Source organism: Homo sapiens, chromosome 11 (assembly GCF_000001405.40).
Source record: "Homo sapiens chromosome 11, GRCh38.p14 Primary Assembly".
Taxonomy (NCBI): Eukaryota; Metazoa; Chordata; class Mammalia; order Primates; family Hominidae; genus Homo; species Homo sapiens.
In genome coordinates, this window is record NC_000011.10 from 24,759,021 (window position 1) to 24,783,647 (window position 24,627).

Below are 24,627 nucleotides of genomic sequence, written 5' to 3' on the forward strand. Positions count from 1 at the left end.
ATGTTTATTCCTAAGCAAATAATGAAATGGTAAATATTTCAAACCTGTGACCCTAATGGAAAACCCTAACAGACAGCAGTGAAGAATGGGCTCTCAGGTGTGACCAGGATAATTAAAGATTTTAATGATTATTGAATGCATTTCCCTACTCTTGTTAATTTTTATGGCTTAACTTGTCCTGAGACATAATTAGTCTAAAGCAAGAGTTTTAGCTTCAAGCTTTGAATCTCATTAAAAATAAAGAATTGTTATGTTCTTTCAATCTTATTCAGGGTAAATACAATGTATTTTCTGTTTCTGAGAATTATTGTATAACTATCAATAGGAATGCTTATTCTTTCATGGGTGTTAAAAATCTGTTGGGATTCTAAATCCATGGCCTAAAATGCTAATATATTTTTAATGTTCAAAATATATTTTATGTCTTGAATATTTAAGTATTGCATTCTCAAGTTTTTCTGTCCTTGTTTAACATTTAATAATTATAGTCTTGACATGGTAATGTATTTTCATTATACTTTAATTAAAGTTAATTGTTAAGTATGAACAATGCGTGCAGTATCCATATATGGGGATTTGGGGGAAATAATGGTATCAGTGAAAGAACAGGTTATTAATATAAGTAATATGGCTTTAAGTAGTTCGTGACATAACTAAAGACAAATCTGTACAAAGCAAAATTTTCTGGAGCTAATAAAATGCTTGTGTAGAAAAGAATGTAAAAGCTGTTTTTTGGGGGATGCACTGTTACTCTGCATACGTGTTTAATTTTGAATGGGGTTAGGTTCTACTTGGTGTAAATCAAAAAGTATCTGAGACAGATCTCAATCAATTTCAAAGCTTATTTCACCAAGGTTAAGGACATGTCAGTGACAAAGCCTCATGAGGGTCTGAGAACAAGTGCCCCTGGTGGTCGGGCTACAGCTTGGTTTTATATGTTTTAGGGAGACAGAAGACATCAGTGAATACATGTAAGATGTACATTGGTTTGGTCCAGAAAGGCAGGACAACTTGAAGTGGTGGGGAGCCAGTAGGGTGGCAGAATGTCCAGCTTCCAGGTCATAGTTGATTTCAAAGATTTTGTGATCGGCAATTGGCAAAGATATTCTGATTGGCAATTGGTTATCTAAGAGTTAGAATCAATAGTAGGGAGTGTCTGGGTTAAGATAAGTGGTTGTGTTATGGAGACCAGGGTTTTTATTATGCAGATAAAGCCTCCAGGTAGCAGGCTTCAGAGCAAATAGATTATCTTAAGGTCTCCGTTTTAATGTTAAATTCCCATCATGGCCTGAACTTGTGTTTCAGGTTAACTTTGGAATGTCGTTGGCTGAGTGGAGGAGTCCATTCAGTTGATTAGGAGGACTTAGAGTTTTACTTTTGGGTTACAGTGGTGATACCTTGGTTTTTCTATCAACTTGAACTATCTACCTAATGGACAATGAGGACTAGTGTTTTGGGGTTACTGTCAATATTTTCAAAATTCAAGATTACTTTGAAAATTAATATGGCTAAAACACTAGACATGTTAATTCTCAAGCTTCTCTTTCTGTATTATGTGTTCTTTTGCCATAAAAAGTGTTTGGTTTGGGTTTTCTGTAACAACTGAGGAAATGGTAATGTCTGGAAACTTATACAGGCCTGAAAGAAAAAAGTGTTAACAGGTGTTGTAAAACTTCTGATGGATTTTATGGAAAGCCAAGCCCAGGAGTCAGATGTGATGAGGCTGTTAGGTGGTACTGGAACTATTGCAGCTCTTGAAGATGTCAGAAAGAGGAATCCATGGATTTTCATTCTTATAGTCCTCTAGATAAATGACTCAGCTGGCTTTCCATTGACTGTTTCTATTTCTGTAACAACTGACTTCCTCTGCATATTACTTATGCAACACTTGACTTAACACAGTCTTAATAATACCTTATGACATCCTTAACCTATCTCAGCTGAGAACTAGCCAGTTTTCTCTAGAGGTTCCCAGTTCAAATCTCCCAAGGAAAATCCAATAGCCTAGATTTTATTTTAGAGTCAGAATTATTTAGTTATTCTTTACCCTGGACTTTCCACATCCTGTGTATTAATCTGTTCTTGCATTGTTATAAAGAAATACCTGAGACTGGGTAATTTATAAAGAAAAAAGGTTTAATTGGCTCAGGTTCCACAGGCTATACAGGAAGCATAGCTGGGGAGGTCTCAGGGAGCTTTTACTCATGGCAGAAGGCAAAGCTGGAGTAGGCAGCTTCACATGGGCAGAACAGGAGGAAGACAGAGAAGGGGGAGAGATGCTACATACTTTTAAACAATCATATCTCATAATAACTCTATTATAAAAACAGCAGTAGGATGGTGCTAAACCATTAGAAACCACCCCTATGATCCAATCACCTGCCACCAGGTCCTAGCTCCAGTGTTAAGGATTAAGGATTACATTTCAACATGAGATTAGGGTGGGAACACAGACCCAAGACACATCATCCAGTAACTGGGAAATGATGATAATGGGAAAAATCATTCAAAGGATGATTGCTAATGCCAGAGCTGTATCCAGGCTGTGGGCCACTCACCTCTGGGCTCCAGGCTGCAGACACCTATATACTGCTCTATGAGAGAAAAATCTATCTCATTTAAACCACTGTATTTAGGGATATGTCAGTTACAGTGCCTCGTTCTTCACCTTGATTAATTTAGTAATTGTTTACTTTCAACTGTGGTTACTACCATAACAAATTCACTAGCTACAATAAATTAACTGGTATTACATAAAATAAATACAAATAAATCTCATAAAGTTGATTTTCTCATAATTTAGGCAAACTTTAACATAAAGTAATAGTATTTATTTTTCATAAGCGCATACACAATAAATAAAATGTATAAAAATATGCATGAGACAAATATGTAAGTTCAGTATAGTGGTTACCTGGGGGGGTGGGGGTGAAGAAAGGAATAGAAGTTAGCTGAAACTTTAATAATAAATAATGATAAATAATAATATATTACTTATAAAAGGGTCTGAAGAAAATTGGACAAAACATTCATATCTGGTTAATGTGTAGGGTTAGCCCACAGGCATTTTACGTATTCTTGTTCTTTTCTTCATGTTTGAAATGTTTCAGAACTAAATATTTTTTAAAGTTGTGTATATGGTAAAAATTAACCTTCTTCCTAAATTTAGCTTCCAACCCAATGACTCAGTCTATCTTCAGAGATCACCTGGATCGTGAGTCTCTTTTATCATTTCAGGAAACTTCTAAGAATACATTGTTCAATGCATGAGGCTATTGAGCATTAGAAATATGACTAATCCAAACTGAGATGTACTGTAAGTGTAAAACACACATTGGAATCTAAAGGCATATAACACAAAAAGAATGTAAATTATGTCATGAATAATCCATGTCCAAATAATATTTTGAATATATCAAATTAAGTGTATTAGAAAAATTAAATTCACCTGTGTCATTACTTTATTAAAAATGTGACTACAAGAAAATTGAAAATTGGATAAATTAAATGTTTCATCCACTGTCATAGTTATTTTCTTATTATAGGGAACCCTCAGTGACTATAAAGTCTCAGTGACTAGTGTACTCTCAGGGATTATAAAGATTATAAATTCTATAAAAAGTCTTGACCACTTACTATACTACCATTTTTTACAAAGCACTCGGGCAGGTAATGCTATTTTTAGGAAATACGGTTCCAATAAGTGGCATAAGGTGACAGATCCTGATGATATCTTGTTCAGAAGGAAACATCATGGTGTCTTCGGTAGACTATTCTTAATGTCCCGTAGTTTTGAGGTAAGGGATATTATTATGTAATTGCTCTGACACTTGGCGACAGGTCATAATTACCTGGAGTGTTTTAGAAATAGAGATTCCTAGGTTCAACTCTAGAATCTATTTTTTCTTTTTTTAAAGAACCACATTTTTAAAAGGAAATGAAGTTTATCCAGGCAAGAGAATCACAGTCATAAAGTGTAGGGTTTCTCAATTTAAAAAAAAAATAATAAATAGTTTGTTAAATGAAAAAAGATATTTTAATATAATCAATGAATATATGTGTGAATTTAGTAATGAAGGTTTTGATTAAGGAACAGTGTAATTCTTTGTTCTTTTTCAATATTTGTTAATAAATAATTTATTATTTCTCAAAATAATGAAAAAAATAATGAAAGCCATGGTAATGAGTTTGGAATGTGTCTACATAATAGTCTATTCATTTTCAGATTAATTTTTTAAAGACTGAAGTTGAAAGAAAGAGCAAAATGATCCGAGACCTCCAGAATGAGGTAAGATATATTTCATCTTAGATACATTTTATATAGATCAAATAATATACATAAATGCACATATAAAGTTGCCACTAGTTTGGAGTATTAAACACTTGCATATTTAATTTTCAGTTATAAACTAATGTAGAGAAATTGTAAGGTGAAGAATTTCAAAAAGTAGATAATCCTTACGTTTATATATATTTGATCATTTCATTAGTCCAAACTTCTCTAGTTCATTTTTCTTTCTAATTATATTTTGTTTAGGGTGATATTAAAAATCAATTTTCATTTAATACATTTACTTATTTGTTTAATAAATGACATTACAGGCACTGAAGAAGAAAGCTAGCTAGAAATTGGCTGCGTGCTAGAAAGGGCCAATCTAGAATGAAAAATGTGTTTAAGGATAATCTCAAAATAATGTAAATTTAAACATAAACAAGTTGTAATCATTTCCATGATAGCCTTTAAAATGTAAGCATCCTATTAAATACTGCATACATTTTTCTTCTTTGATTCTTTATCTTGTTATACAATTACTTTAATTTTTTATAATTTCTCCATTACCTATTTCTACCTTTTCATTTCCTTTTTATTAAATGCAATTAATTAAGACCATTGAGCCATGACTAATTCACGATAAGTCTTCCTTGATCAATCTCACTAATTATGTTTTATTTTGAATCCTGATTATGATGGAAAATATCAACATACCAGAGTAATCAGAATACTGGGTATAATGGATAATATTTATTTTGTTGGAGTCATTTAGGGCTCAGTGAGAAAGCCAGCTTACTCAAATCAAAAAATGCTCACATACGATTTAAAACAAGGAAAACATTTTAAACGAGATTAAAGTCAGTTTTAAAATAGGGTAGGGAGTACATTTATATATGCACATGCACACGTGCGTGGGCGCGTACACACACAATCAGCAATATGAACCCAGTTGTATGATTATAAGAGAATTTCAACTTTATTTTTATCTTTACATAAGTAGCATCAGTTCACTTTTAATCTTAGATAACTTCTTAAAATCTAGAATTCAACTAAGGAGGAAGTTCTTTCAAAAAACCACTAGGCTGGGCACAGTGGCTCACAACTATAATCCCAGCACTTAGGGAGGCTGAGGTGGGAGGATCGCTTGAGCCCAGGAGTTTGAGACCAGTCTGGACAACATGGTAAAATCTCATCTCTAAAAAAAAAAAAAAAAAAAAAAAAAATTAGCTGGGAGTGGTGGCTCACTTGTAGTCCCAGCTTCTTACGAGGCCAAGGCAGGAGGATTGCTTGAGCCTGAGAGGTCGAGGTTGCAGTGAACAGTGATCATGTCACTGAATTTCAGCCTGGGTGACAGAGCAAGACCCTGTCTCTATTAAAAATAAGTTTAAAAAATAAAAATTAGAACAACAACAAAAACCTACCAGGCTGGCTCATGCCTGTAATCCCAGTGCTTTGGGAGGCCAAGGCAGCAGGGTTGCTTAAGGCCAAGAGTTCCAAGTCAGCCTAAGCAACATAATGAGATTCCATCTCTACCAAATAAATAAATAAACGCAAAACTATGAATTATTAATAACAAGTAACAAAATACTTTGTCTTGGGAGGTTATTTTTATAGTGAAATTGCACTTTGATAACTACATAGACTAGAATAATTCAGAAAGAAATACAACCCTACAGAAATAATATCTGCTAAATATGAGTTTTATAATTAAATTTGCTACTATTCACTTTAATACTATTAAGAACATATGAAATGAAAATTGATAACCAAAAAAGCTTTGGTCTTTTTACAAAACCTAACGGTGAACATATATTAGCAATTAAATGTTTTCAATTTTACTCCTTTATATCAAATTATTTAATTTTTAGTAAATAATCAGTACGCATGTAGAGATTAAGGCAGATTTATTTAATGAAATAACTGGTGTATACACTGTACAGTGAAGTTATATGGGCACTTCATGGAAGATTTTCCGTTCAGGCATAAGAAAAAAACAGGTAAATTGATTAAACAAAATACAGTGGTGAGGGAGATAAAACAGATACAAATAAATTTCTGGAAGAAGTTTGAAATCCACTAAGTGGTTACTTTTGAGTGAGGGAATTAGGGAAGTGCCAAAAGATGAAGGCTAAGTCCCTCCTATGCCTATTTTGTTGAGGGTTTTTATCATAAAGGGATCCTGGATTTTATCAAATGCTTTTTCTGCATCTATTGAGACAACCGTATGGGTTTTGTTTTTAATTCTGGTTATGTGATGTACCACATTTATTGACCACATATGTTAAGAAATGAGATAGACAGCAACACAATAATTTTTTCCTTTTTTTTCTTTTTTCTTTTTTTTTTTTTTTTGAGACGGAGTCTCACTCTGTTGCCCAGGCTGGAGTGCCGTGGCTTGATCTCGGCTCACTGCAAGCTGCGCCTCCCAGGTTCACACCATTCTCTGGCCTCAGCCTCTGAGTAGCTAGGACTACAGATGCCCGCCACCACGCCTGGCTAATTTTTTGTATTTTTAATGAAGACAGGGTTTCACTGTGTTAGCCAGGATGGTCTCCATCTCCTGACCTGGTGATCCGCCTGCCTAGGCCTCCCAAAGTGCTGGGATTACAGGCGTGAGCTACCGCACCCGGCCAATTTTTGCATTTTTTGTAGAGAAGGGGTTTCTCTATGTTGCCCAGGTGGGTCTTGCATTCTTGGGCTCAAGAAATCCACTCACCTCAGCCTCCTAAAATGCTGGGATTACAGGAGTAAACCACCATGCCCTGCCAATCAGAGTATTTCAAGCACCTTTATTTCATCTATTTCCAGTTACCTATATCTTCTCATGGGCACCACTTTTAACCTCTGAATTGTACTGTTATGACTTAACAAAAGCTCTATTGTGATTGATGTGGTCTCTAAGTTTCAGTTTTGGGCCGTCTGCTTTTCTCTTTATATTTTTTTTTATGAAATATTCAAGTCAAATCTATTCCGCAACAATGTGTATTTCCTTGCATCAAATAATCATATTAACAATTAACAAGGGGTGAAATAATGTCAGCAAAGCTTTAAAAATCATTTTGTTTTTCTTTCCAATATGTTGAGTTTTGAAGCATTCAGGCAAAAGACTTTTCAAATTTTAAAGAAATTGTTATCAATACAAGGACATAAGAAAAAGATTGAAAATGTATGAAAGGGCTTCCTTTTAGTGGTTGTAGTGATAGTTATTGCATTAAAACTCTTATGCTTTTTGCTGGGTAAGATGTGAATACAGAAGTTTCTGTTAAGACTTTTCCCCTGCATTGAAACAAGAGATTTAAGAAAAATCTGCATCAAATTTTAATTTTGATGATAGTGTGCTTTGTTAGAAGTCAATTCCCTCAAAGATCTACATCCCAAAGGAAGAACACTAAATCCTGAATATAAAGCTTCAAAGAATCAAATGATTATGTTTGAGATAAATGCTAAAAAAAATTGTATTTACACTTTTATTAGTTTCTTTACTGTTTTTCTTAGTCTCACTTTGTTGCCCAGGCTACAGGGCAGTGGCGCGATCTCAGCTCACTGCAACCTCCACCTCTTGGGTTCAAGTGATACCCCTGGCTCAGCCTCCTGAGTAGCTGGGACTACAGGCATGCACCACCAAACCCAGCTAATTTCTATATTTTTAGTAGAGATGGGGCATCACCGTGTTGGCCAGGCTGGTCTGTAACTCCTGACCTCAGGTGTGATCCACCCACACCCACATCAGCCTCCTAAAGTGCTGGAATTACAGGTGTGAACCCCTACACCCAGTTTGTTATTTTTTTTATTTATTTTTATTTTTTATGTTCTGGTAACAATGTTACCTAGTAAGTGGTCTTCCCCAATCCCATTTTCCCTCCAAAATTTCTATTTTTAGTGTGTAATTTGTAGAATATAAGATTTCCTATATGCAAAATTGGACTCATAATTCATATATCAGCAGTTTTCCAGTAACTTTGTAATCTAAGTCTCTAGTTCTAATCTCTCTTGTGTAATCCTTCTGTTAAAAAGGTTAACTGAGATATAATACCATTTTTGAAGAGTTTATTTGAGCAAACAACAATGCATAAATTGGGCTGTTCTGAACTAGAAGTTGTTCAGGAGCTTCACTAAGGAAATACAGTGGAAGGTTTTTATGTGACTAAAATAGAAGTGAAGCAAAGAAAATATTTGTTTGGTTACAGTTAGACAGTTGCTGTATTTGGTCGATCCCACTGGAAAATCTCTAGTTATAAAATTACAAGTTTGTTTCTTCTGTGTGTTTAAGCTCAAGTTTTGTTTTTCTTTAATATAGGCATTTATTTACAATGGCCCACATTAAGTTTTTCATATGTTTGCAAATCAAGCAACGATAACGTCACTTACAAAGCCTAACTGGCTTTGTCTGGTCAAGGATTCTTCAGGGCTCATCTCCATTTTAATTTACTTTAACACATCCTTGTGCCTTCAATGTTTATTTTGCATTTTGTGTTTGAATATTGTTTGGTTGCAAAAAGTATACAGTTTTGCACCAGAAAATAAATCAAAACAAGGAAACGAATGAAAAATTCAACCTCCCTTCTCTAACTTCCATACATATGGCAACTGCCTCATCATGTAGTCAATCTCCCATGCTTCAAAGGTCAGAATTTATTCTGACTTTCACTTTCAAAACACCCTTTCTATAGTATCATTTCTTTTTTTTTTGAATTTTATTTATTTTACTCCTAAGATAAAATCAATTTGTCTGTAATGGTCTGAGATATAAGACAGGCTCAAAAATGAGTAGGATAATATATAAGTCTAGGAAATATTAGGCAAATCAGGCACTGGGACAAGCATCTTTAATTAGTTGAAATTTTTTTTTTCCTTTTTTGATACAGGGTCTCACTCTGTCGCCCTGGCTGGAGCGCAGTGGTGCCATCTCAGCTCACTGCAACCTCCACCTCCTGGGTTCAAAGGATTCTCCTGCCTCAGCCTCCCAAGTATCTGGGACTACAGGCATTATATTTTTAGTGGAGACAGGGTTTTGTCATGTTGGCCAGGCTGGTCTTGAATTCCTGACCTCAGGTGATCCACCCGCCTTGGCCTCCCAAAGTGCTGGGATTACAGGCATAAGCCATCGCACCCTGCCAAAATTTTTAAATAAAGGTGTTAGTTGGATAATGTTCAGGGCTTTTGAAAGAATTACATAGTTGGAAATACTTCATGAACACTAGTATTTAAACAGTCTATGCTCAAGGGGTTAATATTTAAAATATGTAAGAAACTCAAGCAATTAAGTAGCAAATAAATAATCTGATAAAATGGACAAAATATCTGCATAGACATTCATCAGAAGAAGATTTACAAATGCCCAAAAGGTAAATAAAAAAATACTCCCAACATCACTAATCATCACGAAAATGCCAATCGAAGCTATGATAAAATATCAACTCACTTCAGTTAAAATGGCTGGTATCAAAAAGAGAAGTAAGGAATGCTGGCAAGGATGTGGAGAAAGAACTGTTATACACTAGGGGTGGGACTTCAGTGAGTACAGCCATTATGAACAACAATATGAAAGTTTCTCAAAAACTAAAAATAGAACTACCATATGATCCAATAATATAACTACTTGTTATATATCCAAAGGAAATGAAATCAATATGTTGAAGAGATGTCTGCACACTCATGTTTATTGCAGCACTATCACAATAGCTAAGATATGGAATCAATGTGTTTATAGATGAATGGATAAAAATGTGGTATATATAAACAATGAAATACTATTCAGCTATTAAAAAGAATGAAATCCTGTCATTTGTGCAAACATGGATGAACCTAGAGGACATTGTGTTAAGTGAAATTAGCCAAGCACAGAAGGACAAATACTGCATGATGTCACTCATATGAGAAATCTACAAAAGTTGATCTCAAAGAAGTAGAGAGAATAGTGGTTATCAGAAGCTGGAGAAAGCAGGGAGTAGAAGGAGATGGAAGAAGTTTTGTCAACAGGTACAAAGTTAAAGTTAGGTAGGAGAAATAAGTTCTGCGTCTTATTGCACAGTAGGATCACTGTAGTCACCAACAGTGTATTATGTATTTCAAAATAGTTAGAAAAGAGGATTTTGAATGTTCTCACCACAAGGAAATAACAACTCTTTGAGGTGATAGATATGCTGATTACTCTGACTTGATAATTACACAATCTATATGTGTATTGAACATCACATTGCAGCTGATAAATATGTACAATTATGTGTCGATTAAAACCTAATAAAACAAAAATAACTTAAAAAATTTAAACTAGTTTCTGATAAAATAATGAAAAACACATTCTGTCTTGAATTAGTCAGTAGATAGACATGGAAGAGAAGGGAAAGATGGAGGAGATGGGGCAGATATTTTTTTCCTTATTTTCTTCTATGGTGGTCTATTTTTTTTTTTTTGGGATTATAATTGATTTGTTTCCTGAGACTCATTCGATAGCTCAAGGTAAGGATGAAATAGGGAATCACACTAAATTCTCTTTTTTGTTTGTTTGTTTTGTTTTGAGACAGAGTCTCGCTCTGTCACCCAGGCTGGAGTGCAGTGGCACCATCATGGCTCACTGCAACCTCCGCCTCCCGGGTTCAAGCAATTCTCTTGCCCCAGCCTCCTAAGTAGCTAGGACTATAGACATGCACCAGCACCCCCGGCTAAATTTTTGTATTTTCAGTAGAGATGAGGTTTTGCCATATTGGCCAGGCTGGTCTCGAACTCCTGACCTCAAGTGATCTGCCCACCTCAGGCTCCCAAAGTGCTGGGATTACAGGCGTGAGCCACTGCACCAGGACACTAAATTCTCAAAGTTCAGAATGTATTCTTTCACTTTCAAAACACCCTTTCTGTACTATCATTTGTAATTTTCTTGAATTTTAATTATTTTACTTCTAGGATAAAATCAGTTTGTCTGTAACGGTCTGAGATATAAGAAAGGCTTGGGAATGAGTGGGATAATATATAAGTCTAGGAATTATTAGACAAATCAGGCACTAGGACAAATATCTTTAATTAGTTTAAATTAGGTCAGTAATCATAAGAGTGGGTTTGATTCTGGTCAGTGGTGGAAATCAGAAATTAACCCAGCTACTCTATCTCAGTGGCATCCTTTTCCTTTTATTATTTCATGTCTCTATTTTCCTTTCTTTCAAGTCTCTCAGTTATCTTTCTCATCTGTTTGTTATATGGACCATATAGTTTACTACAATTCTGGCTTATTAATATGTCTTCTTCAGCTCCTGTTATCAACTGATTTAATGTCCTTTTATATTTTGTTTTAATGTCATTGCTCTAAGTGCCTGAGAGAAAAATCTTGCACAATTCAAGTCACTGGCCAATATCGGATTCCCAAGTAGTTCCAAATAGCCATTGACACATATCCAGGAATATGATGAATAAAACATGATTTTTAGGGGCAATAAAGCAGTTACTATTCTTGGTTATGGCAAAATTTGTTCTTTTAAGAAAGGAATTTATTAATTCCTATAGATATCTTACAAAATCGTTTGAAGAGCTAAAAATACAGCTTATAGGTTGTACCTTAGAAAAAACTCTACAAACACACCACTGATTTGGCTGTCTTGAGAAAGCACTACCTCCGCCTGAATCAGGAAGTTGCCAGCCTGCCTGCTGCCCTGCCACTGCAGGCTCCAGCACCACACACCCTGGGCCTTCTGCAACAGAGGATGGATAGCATTTAGCCTATTTTCTCAAGTAACAAATTCCTGTATCCACATATTGCACAGATCATGTCTGAATAGTAAAGCCTAAGTCATATCTGACCTAGAGCCGCAATGAATTTTCAGATTTTGTTTATTTTTATTTGTCTGCTTTAATTTTTCATGGGAAATATAGATTTGATACTATAGAAAGCTTTCACATTGCAGAATCTAGTCCTCATAAATTAGTAACCTGTGTATTAAAGGCAACCTTTCTTAATAAAGAGTTATAGTCCATGATAACCAGCTTTAGTAGACAGTAGGTCATCATTGAAGGCTATTGAATAAGTGAGAAACAAGTTGTGAGTACCAATGATGGAGTACTCAATAGTGTGTGCATGTATGTTATAGTGTCTTATGTATATACATGGCATCGTATCTATTCATGTGATTTTTAACTTTGCATTTCTCAGAATTATTTTCTTAACATGATGCAAATGCCTTGAAGTTAGAAACCTACCTTCCATAGCACATCATAGTTCACATTTTTCACAAAGACAACACAGGGCCAGGACTTTGCATATATTGAGAATATATTAAGACCATATTCAAGTCTGTTCTTACTAGTACTAATGAATTACATGAATTAAGAAAAAGACACTACCTCCAAATTTGGAGATAAAAGCTTAATTACTGACATGGTTTGGCTGTGTCCCTACCCAAATCTCACCTTAATTTGTAATAATCCCCACGTGTCAAAGGGTGGGGGCCAGGTGGAGATAATTGAATCATGGGGGCAGTTTTCCCCGTACTGTTCTCCCAGTAGTGAATAAGTCTCATGAGATCTGATGGTTTTATAAATTAGAGTTACCCTGCACAAGCTCTTCTTGCCTGACCTGACACCGTGTAAGACATGACTTTGCTCCTCGTTCACCTACCTCCATGATTGTCAGACCTCCCCAGCCATGTGGAACTGTGAGTCAATTAAGCCTCTTTCCTTTATAAATTACCCAGTCTCAGTTATGTCTTTATTAGCAGCATGAGAAGAGGACAATACAATTCCTAATTAGCAATATTCCTTCATAGGAATGCTTAAAGACCCCACAATATACAAAGACTGATATCTGAGAATCACTGGCCATCCTGAAATGATGCAGAAAAACAGTATATGTGTTGTGTTTTTCAAGGAAGAGGGCCTAGATTCTCAGAAGAAGTCCTTGACTAAAATAAAAAAAACAATAAAGGTCAATAACCAATGATCTAGGGAAAACTCTAAATTTTAAGAAGAAAACTCACTTTGGTTCAACTCTTGTGGCTGTAAATCTTTCTAAAATAAATTATTCTACCTTCTTGCCTCAATAAACACACTGAAGTGAAGATGATGGGATATTTCTTAACATGATAGAGTGCTTCAGGGTCACTATTCTGAAAATGAATTCTTATGCCTGCCTACAGATGAATAGGTGTAGGAGTTTGAGTCGAATATTTACTGAGTCCAGGACACACCCAAGAGGTTTTTAAGATATTTAATTATAACTTTCTTTTTTTTCACTTTATTGCTGGTTATTTGCCTATCTTAAGTGATGATTTCTGTGAAATGTTAGTCAACTGATTGTTCTGGTTAATTTCGTATCCAGCATGTGAAGCTCCCTATAAACTATCCATATAAGGTTCTAAGGCTACTGTTAAAAAGTATAAAAAAGTATGTGTCCTAAAACAACAGGAATTTCCTGTCTCTCAATTCTGGAGGCTACAAGTCTGGATCCACAGTGTCAACAGGGCCTCTTCCTGGCTTCTAGTGTCTCCTGGCAATCCATGTCACTCTTTGGCTTGTAGTGGTATCACTCCAATCTCTGCTTCAGTATTCGTATGCCTCTATGTGCCTCTTATTCATGTGCCTCTATGTCTTTGTGTGTCTTCTCCTCTTCTTATAACGACATCATTTATTAGATTTTGAACCCACTCTAATCCAGTATGACCTTGTTTTAACAATTTCATGTGCAAATAACTTATTTCCAAATAAGTTCATATTCTGAAGTTCTAGGTAGACATGAATTTTGGGGTGATACTATTAAACCACTCCACCATCTGTGGCATTTTGTATATTCCTCATAAACAGTGTAGTTTTTTTTTTTTTTTGAAAGGCAAGGAGAAAGCATTTTATTAGGTATAAATCTATCAATGGAAGTATCCTAAAATTGCTTATTTAAATGCATATGTAATATTTATCTGTATATTTATTTCTGGAATATATTACTTAATTCCAATATTGTCCCAACATTGTGCTAGATTCCAGAGGCATACAAGTATTATTAAAATCAAATTAAGTAAAACAATCGCTAACCATGAGAAATGTAAAGAACATTTAATACTGTTACCGAGAAGTACAGATCTCCTTGGTTCTTGTCTAACTTGGAAGGAAGAATTCAGCCAAGAGATGAATAGCAAACGTTAAGTAGCAGAGTTTATTGGAAGAAGATAAAGTACATTCCTAGAGAGGTGTGGAACATAGCCCCAGGCTGGTCTAGCTGGAAAAATAATCATAACAGTGTTTACTTAGAGGTAGTAACTCTGAAGGATGAGACAGAGTGGGCTGTTCAAAAGAATGAGCCATCAGCAGCCGGTGTTGGGAGACTTATTATGGGAATCTTACATAATTATTCACAAAGGTGTGTGAATTATTCATGGCTTGGGAGGTCCCTTAGGGTGCACATGTTCTGTGGTTGTACATGCTATTACACATGTCTCATGTCTCAGTAGCATTTAAAATCTCCACCTAGGAGTATGTTCTTTACTATTATAATCAGCAAAAGGCTACTCTCCAGTGAGTTTTGGAGGAGTGCACATGCTTGCCACAAGGGAAAATCTCTAGCATGGTCATCTCCCACTAAGGACTGTTAAGCCCCCTTCAGTGCCCGAGGACCCTAACCACAAAGCCACATGTAGCCAATGTAGCCATTGTCCTTTTTTCTGTCAGTGGGCAGCCTCTGTGATGGTTAATACTGAGTGTCAACTAGATTGGATTGAAGGATACAAAGTATTGATCCTGGGTGTGTCTGCGAGGTTGTTGCCAAAGGAGGTTAACATTTGAGTCAGCGGGCTGGGAAAGGCAGACCCACCCTTAATCTGGGTGGGCACAATCTAATCAGCTGCCAGTACAGCCAGAATATAAGCAGGTAGAAAAATGTGAAAAGAGAGACTGGCCTAGCCTCTCAACCTACATCTTTCTCCTGTGCTGGATGCTTCCTGCGCTCGAACATTAGACTTCAAATTCTTCAGCTCTGGAACTCGGACTCTTTGCTCCTCAGCCTGTGCAGATGGCCTATTATGGGGCCCTGTGATTGTGTGAGTTAATGAGTTAATACTTAGTAAACTTCTCTCTCTCTCTCTCTCTCTCTCTCTCTCTATATATATATATATATATACATACACACACACATATTTATAAAGAATATATTCTTTATATATCTGTAGGGAGAATATATATATAAAGAATATATTCTTTATATATCTGTAGAGAGAATATATATATAAAGAATATATATAGAATATATTCTATATATATGTAGAATATATATAAAGAATATATATAGAATATATTCTATATATATGTAGAATATATATAAAGAATATATATAGAATATATTCTATATATATGTAGAATATATATAAAGAATATATATAGAATATATTCTATATATATGTAGAATATATATAAAGAATATATATAGAATATATTCTATATATATGTAGAATATATATAAAGAATATATATAGAATATATTCTATATATATGTAGAATATATATAAAGAATATATATAGAATATATTCTATATATATGTAGAATATATATAAAGAATATATATAGAATACATTCTATATATATGTAGAATATATATAAAGAATATATATGTATATTCTTTTAGTTCTGTCCCTCTAGAGAATCGTGACTAATACGGCATCTCTAGAACTTCTTTTCCCAGAGGGATCCCTTGCCTGCTCATTTCTGGCTACCTACCTACTCTAGGAATATTACATAACAGGTGACATATTTGCCATATAATATAAAATACAATAATAATTTCTAAAATTGCTCAAAACTACAGTAAAAATCATTGAAATGAGCGTTTTACAATATAACCTGGAAAGGGGGAAGATGACGACAATAACCCAGAAAAGTGTAATGTCTACTGAAGGCTTCATCTAAGGGGTAGCTTTTGAAAAGTATAATATAATTTGAATTTATGACTATTTGCTCACTACAAAGAAAGTAAACAGGAAAATGTTGATACCTCACAAGTCCTCTTGTAGGTGAAGAAATTGTTACTTGTTTATTAATGTGCATAAAGTTCATTTTGATAGTGCATTGTGGTGGAATCCAATTTCAGGCCAGCTTACTTGCAAAGAAAATATTTGTGGTTCCCAAATCAATGCTGTAAGTATCTGTTATAAAGAGACATTGGGACAGCCAATCCAATTGTTACAGCCAAAGCATAATATAAAGAAACATAAATCTGAAAAGTTCTCTTAGCTGATACGTCAGCCAGCTTTCTACTTCTCAAGGGTGTTGTAGACTTTTTACTTAGTATTCCAGAGGTAAGTCAGGGTGGCTGTCTTATGGAAGTTTGCAGCCTACTTTAATTTTCATTTTATTTGCTGCTTTTATCAATTAATTTCACTCATTAATTTCCTGCAGCAGAATGTTGGCTAGGATAACACCATTGTATACAATCTTAGACGTGACTCAGTTGAAACCATGCTCCTTATACCCTGGTTGCATCTGGGTCACTTTTTCGGTTCTCTGAGAGAGAGATAGCTAGTGTTCCCTGAACATGCTTCAAGTAAAGGAGAAAGTTTAGCTCTTTACTCTTATGCCTTTGGTAAATATTATTTTATGTACCTCAAAATGTGGTTAATTTAGTACAAGAGAAAACTATGCATGTTAGACATTTAGTACATATTAAGCTGTCACCAAATGGAAGCTATCATCATCCTCCATTATTGTTATTGGGTTCTGAGTTAAAATTAGTTCATCAATAAGCAGTGTTATGTACAGATAAATATTTGCTTAGAAATGGTTCTAAAAATCAAACAACCAATCAAAAGTTTCTTAAGTTCTAAAAATCAGCCAATCAACAACTTCATAACTTAGAACCATAAGTTAAACTTATCAATAAAAATGCAAAGGTAAGAAAGGACTCTAATTATCACTTTTAGACAGTCTCATTTCATCTCTTAAAGCATTTCTTTCCACATGTCAGACAAGAAGACTAACAACTGTGCAATTCATATTTTAATTAGAAACAATAGCCTATGGAGAAAACCTTTTCAAATTGGACTAACGGAAAAATCCCAGAGAAGATACTGAATTGATCACATTCCTGAGTCAACCACCATGGTCAGGGAAATGGGCAGTTTAATTGCTAAGCCTGAGTCACATTTCTGCTCTTATGTTGGATGAAATTTACCCTACTCAAAACACAGATTTCCCACAGGAAAGAAGAGTTCATTATAGAAGAGTACCTGGACTGATAAGTAAATATATCCAGAAAACTATCAAATACTTTTACTACTCCCTGCCATCCTCGATCATTTTCTTAATATCCTTCAAATCATAGAATGCAGTAATAATGTAATCATTGCTGTTCCCAAGTCATATGTGATGTATTCACATTGCCATATATTTGTTAGCAATGTCCCCTTGGCTATAATTCTACCATTGCTCCAAACATATTGAGGATCTTCACTCTTCATCTTTTATATTTACTTACTACATTCAGATACTCCATAAAATGGCACTAAAGAAGCTCTAGTCATATGATGGTAGGAAAATGATCATCTCCATTTCTGCACCTGGAAGGAAATGGAAGAACTGCTTTGTTTCCAATCCTCAGAGATTCATCATTTCATTGTATGTACTTGACACCCACCTTTGTGCCTCATGTATCCAGCATTATGACTGGAACTGATGGTGCCTATACAGCCTTCATTCCCAACAGGGCAAGGGTTCCATCCCCTTGGTGACACTGTAAGTAGTTTTTTTTTTTTTTTTTTAGACAAGAGTTTTGCTCCGTCGCCCAGGCTGGAGTGCAGTGGTGTGATCTCGGCTCACTGCAAGCTCAGCCTCCCGGGTTCATGCCATTCTCCTGCCTCAGCCTCCTGAGTAGCTGGGACTACAGGCGCCACCACCACGCCTGGCTAATTTTTTGTATTTTTAGTAGATTCGGGGTTTCACCGTGTTAGCCAGGATGGTCTTGATCTTCTGACATTGTGATCTGCCCGCCTCGGCCTCCCAAAGTGCTGGAATTACAGGCTTGAGCCACCGCGCCCGGCCTGTAAGTAGTCTTTACTTAAGTATAGAGACTGGATTTGGGAAGTGTAAGGAGCTACAACTTGTTAGAGGTGTGAGAAAAGTAAATTCATGCGGGGGGATCCATTTAAACAAGTTGGAAAAATAGAAAGAATGCTGCTTTCATGATGGACAGAGAAGAAACAAATTCAAATAATATACTTAAGACTTAGTATAAACACTATAAAAATCAGATATGCATATATTATCCTAGTGGATTCCTAATGAAAATCTAATGTATCAAAATTGGTAACTGTTTCAATGACAAAATAGTAAACATATTTGTACTAATCTCAAGTATAAAAGTTATACTTCTGTTTAACTTCTATATAAAATTTATACAATTTTTGTACAACTTATAGTCTTATTCTAAAAGCCATGTGTCATAGAAAAATTGGACACTTCATTTTATTTTCTTTACAGCAGTTACTAGTCTTTGATATTATAGTACATAATTCATTGATTTACTTGTTCATTTTCATTCTTCTCTTCTGTGGTTTTTATTTTTTTTGGTGTGGTGATGAGTATACAACATGAAATCTCTCCCGTTAATACATTTTAAAGTATATAATACACTATACAAGCATTATTTTCTTAAAGTTACAAGAAAAAAGTCTTTTTTTAATATTATATCTTCTCCATGTTTTCTGTAATATAGTAGGCACTTGATAAATACTTGTTGAGTGAATGATAAATATTCATTGAATAGGTTATATTTCTATAAGTATCATAAAATGGACCACTATCCATAACTCATAGAAATGAGAGTTCTCAAAATGGTGCGAAGATTTTCTAAATCAAACGTATAGTAAGCTGGGCACAGTGGCTCATGCCTGGAATCCCAGCAGTTTTGGAGGCTGAGGTGAGAGGAATGCTTGAGTCCAAGAATTTGAGACCAGCTTGGGCAACATAGTGAGACCTCGTCTCTGCAAAAAATAAAAAAATAAAAAATAAAAAAATCAGCCGGGCATCGTGATGCATGCCTGTAGTCTTAGCTATTCAGAGGCTGAGGTGAAGGGATCTCTTGAACCTAAGAGAATGAGACCACAGTGAGTTGTGGTCATACCACTGCATTCCAGCCTAGGCAACAGAGCAAGATCCTTTCAAAAAATGAATAAACAAACAAACAAACAAATAAAATTTATACAATTTGTAATAACCTTAAAAATCATAGAAATTAGAAAATCTCATATTGATTAGAACCAGCTAAAACTTGAATTCTTAGATTTTTACATAAGGGGCTGAAAGGCAAGATACTTTACTCCTGGTTACTGCGACATGCTGCACAGAAAGAAAGGATAAAAGCATGTAAGAAACAAACAATCAATAAAGAAGAAAGAAACTAAATGAAGGAACATAAAAAGGAAGAAAGGAAGGAAAGATGAGAAAAGAACCTTGAGAATGAAGAGTAGAATTTTTGCTAGCATTTAAGACTTATTTGCTGCATCATCTGGGAAAAGTCAAAACTTTTGTGAATATCACTGGTAAAATAAGAGGTTTGCATAAAATGATCCCCATGATTTTTTAATTTCAGCTTCACAATTCAAAAACTATAAATTCTTAGTCTGTAGAGACAATAGCACACCAACTGATAACATCAGTAATACCTGAGTACTAAACTCAATGTAAATTCCAACTGAGTGGTCATTAGTATTTCAAACAGGTGACTCTAAAATGTGTTTGGATTTGCCTAGAGATTTTCTGAGCATTTCAGAAATGTGTGTGTGTGTATTTTTAAATGTCAAAGTATGGTATTCTCTAGTACATGCCATAGAAAAATACACCATGAACAATTAACCAAGATTATTTAAGAAAGTTTCATCATTGCACCTATATTTACATTAACTATGTTAACTTTAAAAGAAGTTGATTTTTTTAAAATAAAACATTATTTTCTGCGTTATTTCTAGCAAATATGCACATTCACAAAGTGTTGGAGATATTCTTGAAGCAATCACTTAAGCAGTTATCAACTATTTTCTCCCTCAGACATAAGAAAATGCCAGTGCTTAGAAGACAAAAAATAAATGTCATGGGTAGTAAGAAAGTTGACATAGTTTGCAAAAATCTGTGTATCTATACCAGCTTTTCATCATACATGTCACACTTAACATTTGAGATACTTAAATGCTATCATTGAAATAGAAACATCAATACTGACCACCACAGTTGGGAGGGTAAAATGAGATAATAATTACAAGAATAACTATCATTGTGCCACTCCTTGTTTTTCATAATAAATGTAAAGTGTTAATTAATGGCTGGCCACAGGCTAAATATTACTCGTGGCATATTCTTTAATCAGCTCTTACATGGAAAATACATGTAGTAGGCTGAAAAGTAGCCCAGAGAGATCATGTCCTAATTCCTGAAACATGTCCATGCAAACTTATAAGGCAAAAATATATTTGTATATGTGATACAGTTAGGGATCTTGAGGTGATGAGATTATCCTGGATAATTTCAGTAGACCCTAAATGTAATCACAACTGTCTTTATAAGAGAAAGGCAGAGAGAGATTTGACACACACACATAGGGGAGGAATTGATATGAAGACAGGGTGAGAGAAATTTGAAGATGCCGACTTTGATAATGGGAGGGATGTGAATGTGGGCTGAAATCCAAGGAATTACAACAGCCATGAGAAAGTGGAAGAGGCAAGGGACATATTCTCCCGTAGGGCCTCTGGAGGGAGCTCAACACAGCTTGCTCCTGATTCTGGGCTGGTTACTTCTGACATGTGGCTTTCAAAATTATTAAATAATAAATTTCTGTTGTTTTGCATCACTCAATCTGTGGTAATTTAATTAGGAAACTAACACAGGTGGGGAAGAAGTAGGGCAGGTATTCAGGTTATCATTAATATTAATTACTTAAGTGTGTTTTATGATGGTGGATTCCATTTCCAGCTATTAATTCTGAAACTGAACTGAAACTCTGGCAAGCATTCCCCTTTGACCATTGGATAGAATTTATAGATGATTGTAAAGTACCCATGTGTTTTATCTTCAACCATTATTTATCACACTACTTCTGAGTCCTGAGCACCATATTAAGCAGAGAGGAAATAAAATCAATTCGATCTTCCACGCCTTGTTTTCCACCTTTGCTTTGTGTGGAAAAGACCTCTTAAACATGTAATAAACTTATATGATAGTTGTATAATGTATACAAGGAGCCAGGCATCTTACTCATTTACTTCACACAAAAACTATTGAGCAGGAAATTTGCTAGCACTGGGATATATAACAACAACATGCCAATCATGATGAAGGTGATAATGATGGTTGATGATGATGATGATCGTAATAACAACAGTTTACCAGTATTTACTCTGTGATACCAGACAGGGCCAGACTCCATATTACCAAGAGTTTTACATGCATTATGTCACTCAATTTGAACAACTGTCTTGTTTGTCTGTTCATTTTTAATGGAATGTCTTCAGGTGTGCAGAATTTAATCAGTCATTATCTGTGATTCTGTGGTTTATATCACATCTTCATCATATAATATTGGTTTTGCACAGTCTTTAATCTTTTAAAATGTTATTTTTAAGAACACTACTAAAGACACCAACTTAAATGTGAGCTAGCTAGGCCTTGCCAAAAATCCCTTTTCAGCATCCTCATTCACAGTTTTTATGTGAAGAAATAGAGGGAAAGAGAAATAAAAGTCATATAGTCAATCATACAGTTGGAGTGTGATGCCAGACTGTCTAACACAAGAGCTAATATTCTCTCCTTTTAACCAAATCTTGTAAAGTGGATTCAAGTTACTATGTTCAATCTTTATCACTTTGCATTAAGCCTAATTGAAGACTTAAACTGACTACCTCTTATTTTTATTTCATTATACTTTAAGTTCTAGGGTACATGTGCAGAACATGCAGGTTTGTTACATAGGTATACATGTGCCATGGTGGTTTACTTTCTACCTCTTTCAAATGTAATTTCAACCATCAGCTGAAACATTTCACCTTTTGTCCCCTTTTTCCTCCTCCTCTCTTCTATAAATATTCATGTTGATATCATCAAAATAGATTGACAATATGATATATGATAATATAATCATAGTTTTGGTTTAACCTCAGAGATATTTCTTACTGCACTATTTACCATTGTTGAAATATGTTGACTCTGCAGTAATTGGCCCCTCAAAACAATATTAGGTCCTTTCCTACCTTATGTCTGAAAGTTGCAGAAGACAACACTAGATGGAGTAATTTTCTCCATCAGTCATGAAGACCTGTGTTTCATGATTTTTTATAGCCACAGGTACTTTCATTTCCATTACCATTTTCCATTTTCTTTAAAAAATAGACCTCATAACACATCATGGTAATACTAGAAATCAAAAACTGATATTAAGAAATTGCAAACGAGCTGCTATTTTATAGAAAGGAAGTTTTTTTTAATATACATTAGGAACCCTTCTGCCTCTAAAAACCACATGATTTAAATTTAGCATTTCACATTGACTTATAATATCTTCCTTACCCAATACATTAAAAAAATTAGATGTCCTCCCCCATGATTTTGAAACTTTAATATGTATGAAAAGCACCTGGGGATCTTACAAAAAATGAATATTCTGATGAAGGATGGGGCCTGAGAGTCTAACAAGTTCCCAAGTGATGCCAATAAAATCAATGCATATGCCACGGTTTGGATAAGAAGACTCTAAGTAAGTGCTTGTCAAATGCTGCTGAATGGGTAGGTGCTGACTGGCTACTAACAATCATTCAGAGAGCTTCTTTAATATGTAGATTTCTAATAGCTGTTTAGAGATTCAGAATCAGGTGTGACTTGAGGTTGGCAATCTGCATTCCCTAAATTTAGGTGAAAGAGATTTTATTATACAACTGAAGAGTTCACAGAAAAGCCTGGCAATCTGTTGACTGAGTAACTTTAAAGTGCTGGTGAAGGAAGTTTTCAAGAGTAACCTTTGTAGCATTAGAAGTATGGTCAGAGTGCAGCTGTGAAGATACAGCACAGTCTATATTGGGCCTCATGCACATTTATTAGACAGGGAAGAGCAGAACCACTGATTAAATGGTGTGCTCAAACTCTGTACTATGAGCAGGAGATAATTTCTCAAGTACTAAATTTGGAGGTGCTGCCAGGACTCAATGATGGATTGCAAAGCAACCAATGGTCATGGTATAACAGAGATTTAATTTTATAACCACAGAAAATAGAGCATCTGAAAAAAAAATTCAGATTGGTAAGCACTGCTCTTAACACATAAGCTCCTGGTCCCCTGCTATACAACTGTCTTGCTTTAATATTTTCTCACTTTCTCCTCTTCCTCTTCCTCCTCCTTTTCCTATTTTTCCTTTTCTATCACCACCATCACTACCCTTGAGGAACCCAGTGCCTGTCAAATAGTAGGTACTCAGCAAGTACATGTTGACTAATTGCTAGCTTGATGTATTTTTACAATAAAAATAGCTCATCAAAAAGGAAATAAAAGCTCTGCCTCTGCCATTCTTGTCCTAGAATGTTACCTGTGTAATTTCACTTCTTAATGACAAGCCTTTTATATACATAATTTCAGTTATCTTTGCACAATTCAGTAAATCAGTCAGAACACATTCTGAAACGAAATGGAAGGAAGAGATAAAGAAAATGAAATATTAGGGGCTTTCCAAGTTGCTTACTTGCAAAGAGCCAGAAGAGACTAGGGAATGAATGAGGCACTCAAATTTTCCTCTCCTTTTCAGGTGCTTTTTTGATTACCTACTGTTCTCAACCCTCATGACTATAGACTTTGAAATAAATGTGACATCAACCACATAAATAACTGCCTCTTTTAATCTTTGTAACTATCACAAGCACATGTCCATTGTCTAAGTTCACTATTCTTGTCAGAGCTGCAAGAAAATAAACTTCTCTTTGTATTCTTTATAAAGCATTTTGTTAAGTTGGATGTTACAGCTCTCATATTTCCATGCATTTCTTCTTTTCTAGATAAGATTATGCCTTTGCTGACAGAGTGGAAAACTGCTACTAGGGGCTTTCAATATAATTACACTTCATTTTTTTTTTCCTAACCAAGACAACACAATTTTATAAATTTGCTCACAACTCAAGCTTACCTGGTAAATGTATTTGCTAATCATAATTTAAAAATTAACCCTATTTTGATTTTTAAGAGATAAAAGGTTTTTTTAAATCTCAGTTATCAATTAATACTGTTTCTTCCAAGTAAGGTTCTAACATTTTCCAAATTAGAGGAACAAGTTTTTATATCAAAATGATTCCTCTGGTATGCATTTTAAATTATTTTATTTCATACATGAATCTGCAACCTTCAACTTCTGTGGAGGACTCTGAT

The 24,627-nt window shown here is 34.8% G+C and overlaps 1 protein-coding gene across 9 annotated transcripts in view; it reads left to right on the forward strand.

The window, feature by feature from the left end:
• Window positions 1–24,627, forward strand: part of LUZP2 (leucine zipper protein 2) — a 585,586-nt gene that overhangs the window by 261,968 nt on the left and 298,991 nt on the right. For all 9 annotated transcript variants that reach the window (NM_001009909.4, NM_001252010.2, NM_001252008.2 and 6 more), the window contains exon 5: window positions 4,226–4,288. In NM_001009909.4, the coding sequence (NP_001009909.2) occupies window positions 4,226–4,288 (63 nt within the window). The remainder of the gene's footprint in view (window positions 1–4,225; window positions 4,289–24,627) is intronic.